Source organism: Homo sapiens, chromosome 2 (genome assembly GCF_000001405.40).
Source record: "Homo sapiens chromosome 2, GRCh38.p14 Primary Assembly".
NCBI classification, from domain to species: domain Eukaryota; kingdom Metazoa; phylum Chordata; class Mammalia; order Primates; family Hominidae; genus Homo; species Homo sapiens.
Genome location: NC_000002.12, coordinates 88,412,163 through 88,418,695, shown reverse-complemented (window position 1 = coordinate 88,418,695; position 6,533 = coordinate 88,412,163). Strand labels below are relative to the sequence as shown.

At 43.2% G+C, this 6,533-nt stretch overlaps 1 pseudogene, besides 1 other annotated feature; it reads left to right on the top strand.

Moving 5' to 3' along the window:
* Positions 2,020 to 2,626: an enhancer, noted in NCBI's record as "OCT4-NANOG-H3K27ac hESC enhancer chr2:88715589-88716195 (GRCh37/hg19 assembly coordinates)". NCBI's record gives its function as "activates a minimal SCP1, AML or CMV promoter by ChIP-STARR-seq in primed H9 embryonic stem cells {active_cell/tissue: H9 hESC(primed)}" and the evidence as "EXISTENCE:reporter gene assay evidence [ECO:0000049][PMID:30033119]".
* RNU6-1007P (RNA, U6 small nuclear 1007, pseudogene) lies at positions 3,692 to 3,798 on the top strand (annotated as a pseudogene).

Sequence of the window (6,533 nt, the reverse complement as noted above, 5' to 3'; positions counted from 1 at the left end):
TGCATGTCTTACAAACAGAGGTACTAACTGCTCTTTTGTTCCGGACTATATTTTCTTTTTTTTTTTTTTTTTGAGACAAAGTCTCGCTCTTGTCCCCCAGGCTGGAGTGTGATGGCGCAATCTTAGTTCACTGCAACCTCCACCTCCCGGGTTCAAGTGATTCTCCTGCCTCAGTCTCCCGAGTAGCTGGGATTACAGGCACCTACCACCGTACCTGGCTAATTTTTGTATTTTTTTAGTAGAGACAGGGTTTCACCACTTTGGTCAGGCTGGTATCGAACTCCTGACCTCAGGTGATCCAGCCGCCTCGGCCTCCCGAAGTGCTGGGATTACAGGCGTGAGCCACCGTGCCCGGCCCCAGACTATATTTTCGAAGATGTTTGTACAATCAACAACTTCGGAAGATAGTGATAGAACCTCTATCCTGAGCAGAACACAGGTTTGCTTACTGCCTAGTGTGATACAAATAATGTTTCCCTCTAGTAGCTTTGTTAACTTCTCTTTATAAAAGATTTAGTCTCCCTAAGCTTGGAGTTGCTTAGCTGTGGCACAAGCCCTGCTGTGTGTATAGCATCCGTTCCGGCCCCTTCACTCTGTTCCTGTGGTACTTGTGGGGCAAGGGAATCCAAGGGAACATGATGTTTATGCCACTTGCTATGCTGTGAGTAATGAAGTCCTTTGCCTCTGACCCAGGAGTCTCGTATTTTGTCAATATGCATGACACTATAGCAGGCTAACTTGTTAGCTTGCAAGTGGGTTAAAAATCTCAGACTTTTCATGGTTCAAAACAGTTTTAAATGATTATCAGGTTGAATTGATTAATGTATCAAAATATCACATATCATGGCAAAATAGAGTGGATTCTAGTTATTAAGGGATGATTCAACATCAGAAAATCTGTTAATGTAATTGACTAGTAAGAGTATAAGGAAACAAAGCATAAAGCATATGCTGAAAAACTGTTTGTGTCTGAGGCATTCTAAGAATTTTTCTGTTTCATGGGTGAACTTTTTCTTGTTTGCTTGTGTGTATATTTTGAGATGGAGTTGCCCAGGCTGGAGTGCAGTGGCACAATTTTGGCTCACTGCAACCTCTGCCTCCCAGGTTCAAGCAATTCTCCTCAAGTGATTCTCCTGCCTCAGCCTCCAAAGTAGCTGAGATTACCGGTGTGCACTACCACGCCTGGCTAATTTTTGTATTTTTAATAGAGATGTGGTTTCACCATTTTGGCCAAGCTGGCCTCGAACTCCTGACCTCAAATGATCCACTCCCCTCAGCCTCCCAAAGTACTGGGATTACAGGTGTGAGCCACCGCATCTGGCCCATGGGTGAGCTTTTCATACCCACATTTATTGTCCCAACACATAGGTTTGATCTAACTTCTGTCAGCTTACTATTTTTCTTCCTCTTTGCTGTTCTGCTCTGTTTCATGTTTACAGTTTACTACGGGGAGTGTATTTTCTTTTTTGTTTCTCTGCTTATCAATCCCAATGCAGCTAGTTCTGTCACTCAGTGGTTGCAAATCTTTCTTGAACTCTAGGCATCAGGTTCATCTTCTGAAAAATGAAAAGCGTATTTATTTGCTATCTCATGGGGCCTCACCTTTGCATCCTAACAACAATTTAGGAATACTTACTAGGTTAAACTATCTCTTGAATTCAATTTATTCAGTGTTCAAGGGAGAAAGGACCCTTTTCCCTCTGGGGTTTTGCCTGTCCTCTGCTAACTGTTGATAATTGGTTCCTGTCAGAATAATGAACTCCTACCTCTGATTGCCTGCCGGGCTTTTGCAAGGAAAAAGGACTGCGAAAGAAATTCGGCTTGTTTTTGAGGCTCTAAACATTTCCTACTACTGGAACAACTAACCAACAACCAGCCAGCCCAACCAAACAAACAAAATCCCCTAACTCCTGGAAAAACCTTGCAGAGAAGGGCTCAGGTCTGGTCAGACCAGTACCAGTGCCTGCATTTAGCTGCTTCTCTCTAAGGCTCATGGCTTCGGTCTACACTTCAGTTCACTTTAATAAGAGGAGGGTCTGCCTTGACCTTCCCTTCTCCCTACCTCCACCCTCTTTTGGTATGGACCTGAGGCATAAGTACCTTCGCCTGCAGAGAGAGAGGGAATGTAGCATGAGCTCCACCCCACGGCACAGGAATTTGTACTTGTTACTCTGGAAGAAGCCCCCAGTAAATCTGCATCCTCCTTGGTCAAGGAAGGCCCTATTACTAGTGCATTTTGGGCCTTGCCTTTTTCTTTGCCTCCTCTCCAGGACTGGGCTATAGGATGTCGTGGGCCCTTTTGTTTGCATCTGTACTAGGGTTTCCCTCTCACTGTTGGGCTCACCCCAAGACAAGGCAAAAACAAGGCAAAATCCGTCTCTTCCTTTCCTGGTATTGACTTTTTGGCTTGGGGAGGTACCTGGAAGGCCGGTGCTCACCCACACCCGGCAGGTTTGAAATTTCTGCTCTAAGGCACTGGGCACAATCCCCAGGACTCCACTGGAATTACAAAAGATTTGCAAAGCTCTCTGCAGGAAACTCCTTTTTCTGACATTCAAGGTGTGTTTTCTGGTCTTTCATTTGAGAGACTGCCAAAGCAGATAAAAATCTATTCCCAAAGTACCCTAAAGCAGTCTTTCATTCCACCCACAGGAAATCCCTGATAAAGAGGGCAGGGGGCTTTCTTTCCTCAATCCTCTTGGTCAGGAGAAAGCAACTCTTGAAGCCAGAATTAGCCTCTGCAAGCCTGTTTCTGGGCAAACATATCCGCACCCTCTGCAAAATGCAGCTGGAAGTATCCAGAGCAGAACAACTAGTGCCCTGTTGAGAGCTTCAAGATCCAGAATTTAAAGCTTCTTTATAAGCCACTTTTAAGTGTATATTCTTTCTTCTTTTTTTGTTTATTTAAAAAAAAAATCAGCCATTTTACATGCCATAAAAATTCAACCAACTAATTTAAGTGTGTATTCTGTTGCGTTTTATCCATGCTTCAGAACAGGCATCGCTGAGTGGAAGAGGAGTCCTATTAAAAGGGTTCAAATGATGCTGGAACACGGTAGCTGATTGTCAGAGCCTGACAGGTGACACAGAAAGAACAGCTTGACTGGGCACAGTGGCTCACGCGTGTAATCCTAGCACTTTGGGAGGCTGAGGTGGGCAAATCACCTGAGGTCAGGAGTTCGAGACCAGCCTGGTTAACATAGTGAAACCCTGTCTCCACTAAAAATACAAAAATTACCCAGGCATCGTGGCACATGCCTGTAGTCCCGGCTACTTGGTAGGCTGAGACATGAGAATTGCTTGAACCCGGGAGGCGGAGGCTGCAGTGAGCTGAAATCATGCCACTGCACTTCAGCCTGGGCAACAGAGTGAGACTCTGTCTCAAAAAAAAAAAAAAAAAAAAGTCAAAACATCTAGAAGACAGGATCTAGGCCCTAGCAAGTTGGAAAAACAGACCGCCGCACAAACTTGGGGAAACTCCATCTTCCCCAACTTAATGGGATCCCTCCAGAAGAGATTTAAGAAGGCAGGGTAGGTCTAGATCAGGAGTTAGTAAACCACAGCGCTTGGGCCAGATCCCATCCACTGCCTGTTTTTGCATAGCCTGAGTTAATGATTTTTACATTGTTAAATGGTTGGAAGAAATCAGATGAGTACTCTTTATTGACACATAAAAATTATATAAAATTTTGTACTCGCTTCAGCAGCACATATACTAAAATTGGAATGATACAGAGAAGTTTAGTGTGGGCTCTCCACAAGCATGACATGCAAATTCGTGAAGCATTCCATATTCTTTATTTTTTGAGACAGAGTCTTGCTCTGTCGCCCAGGCTGGAGTGCAGTGGCATGATCTTGGCTCACTTCAACCTCCACTTTCTGGATTCAAGTGATTCTCCTGCCTCAGCCTCCTGAGTAGCTGGGATTACAGGCATGCACCACCATGCTTGGATAATTTTTTTGTATTTTTAGTAGAGACGGGGTTTCACCATATTGGCCAGGCTGGTTTCGAACTCCTGACCTCAAGTGATCCATCTGTCTCGGCCTTCCAAAATGCTAGGATTACAGCTGTGAGCCACCATGCCCAGCTGTGTAGTTTTTTAAATTAAAGAAAAGAAAATTATGGCTGGGGGTGGTGGCTCACACCTATAATCCCAGCACTTTGGGAGGCCAAGGTGTGCGGATCGCCTGAGGTCAGGAGTTCGAGACCAGACTGGCTAACATGGTAAAACCCTCTCTCTACTAAAAATACAAAAATTAGCTGGGCGTGGTGGCAGGCGCCCGTAATCCTAGCTACTCGGAAGGCTGAGGCAAGAGAATATCTTGAATCTTGGAGGTGGAGGTTGCAGTGAGCCGAGATTGCACCACTGCACTCCAAACTGGGTGACAAGAGCGAAACTCAGTCTGAAAAGAAAAAGAAAAAGAAAAGAAAATTATATAAAATTTAATTTTCAATGTCTATAAATAAAGTTTTACCAGAACACATCCTTTCTGATTCATTTTGTGTATTGTCTATGGATGCTTTGGCACTGATACTGCATGGCTGAGTAGTGGACAGAGGCCATGTACTCCTCAAAACTTAAAATGTGGCTGGGCACAGTGGCTCACACCTATAATCCTAGCCCTCTGGGAAGCAGAGGCGAGTGGGTCACCTGATGTTAGGAGCCGGAGACCAGCCTGGCCAACATGGTGAAACCCCGTCTCTACTAAAAATACAAAAATTAGCCGGGTTTGGTAGCGGGTGCCTGTGATCCCAACTACTCAGGAGGCTGAGGCAGGAGAATCACTTGAACCTAGGAGGTGGAGGTTGCAGTTAGCCGAGATCGCCTCATTGCACTCCAGCCTGGGCAACAAAAGCAAAACTCCGTCAAAAAAAAATAATAAAAATAATAAAAAGCCTAAAATGTCTACCCTCTGGCACTTAGAAAAAATGTGTTAAAACTTGGCCAAGATTCTAGATAAAATAAAGCCCTGATTTGGCATAGCTGAAGCAGAATAGGTTTTACAGGTAGGCAGACCATGGCTCAATTCACGGTCAGTTAAAAATATTAATGTAGCAAGACCTCATCTCTACAAATAAAAACTAAATAAACTAGCTGAGCATGGAGGGATGTGCCTGTAGTCCCACCTGTACACTCCAGTCTGGCAACAGAATGAGACCTTGTCTCTAATATATATATATGAATATAATATATATTGTTTATAAATAAATATATAATTGTTTTATTTTATTCTATTTTATTTTAGAGAATATGTCAGTGAGATGGCTGGAGCCGCCATGGTCAAGGGTTGTCTTTGCTTTTGAATTTTTTTTTTCCTTTTCCCTTAGCTATTTTTTTATTTCATAAGAATGCTCTTAATTACTTTTAAAAGGAAAGCATGAAACTTTTAGAACATTAACGCAAGGCAGCATTCAGAGACTTACTCAGTTCCCCCTTGCAGGCACCAGTGCCACCTAATTGTTTGCTCCACACAAAAGGTGGATCAGAGAAAATCGCTTCTTTATTCTTCCCTTTACATCATCTCCCCGGCACCTGGGGAGTCTGGATGCACGGAGACCGAGTACAACATGCATCTGATGATGGGTTACACCAAAGCACACCAAGACCTAAATCCTTCCCAGATTTATGAAGATTTTCCATAGCTTAACTAGATTTCTAATTGTCCTGCCACCTGTACTGAAATGTACAGTATGTGTTAATCTTGAATTCTTTTCTGTTTCCATAATCTTGGTAAAGTTTCCTGCACTCAAACAGTAAATCCAGTTTGGTCCTTGGGCTTTAAAGAGGGAGCCAAATTCACTTTTATGATTTCCAGTATGAAGGTGTCTTTGGAGGCGTTTGGGCATCTAAAAGCCCAGAACAATTTTTCCTCCCTGTGGTTCCTGTGCTGTGGCTTCCAGGCCGAAACCATAAGTTCACAAGAGTCCGTTGCCTCATTTGTTACGTGATTTTTCTATCATTTCAGAAGAGTTTAGAAAGAAATGCGTAAGAGTTTCCACATATTCAGCATACCAGGTGTTCTGTTCTCCCCACAAAATGTTCATTTGTAGATGACAACTTGCTGGTTTATTTTCTGTTGGTATTGAGATTATAGGATGAAAAGGTAGACTCAGTACCTGTTAATGTAACAATTTTTCTGGACATTTTTAAAGGCAGCTCTATCTGAGTCTGCCATGTGACCTTAGACTATGTCAAGTTGAAATAATAACATTATCTACCCTGCTATCTCACAGGGCTGTTTTCAGGAATTGAATGTGATATAAAATATGTAACCATCTCTGAATAGGTGAAGCATTTTGCAGGTGAGAGTACTCAGTCCTCTTCAAAAGGAGGCTTTTTGAAGGTGGTGAAAAGGGAGATATTGATCACAGGGTATGCATCTTCAGATGTAAGATGATTCAGTTCTGATGATCTAATGTATGGCATAGCAACGGTAGTTAGTAACATATTGTATCCTTTTTTTTTTTTTTCGAGACAGAGTCTTGCTCTGTCGCCCAGGCTGGAGTGCAGTGGCGCGATCTCTGCTCACTG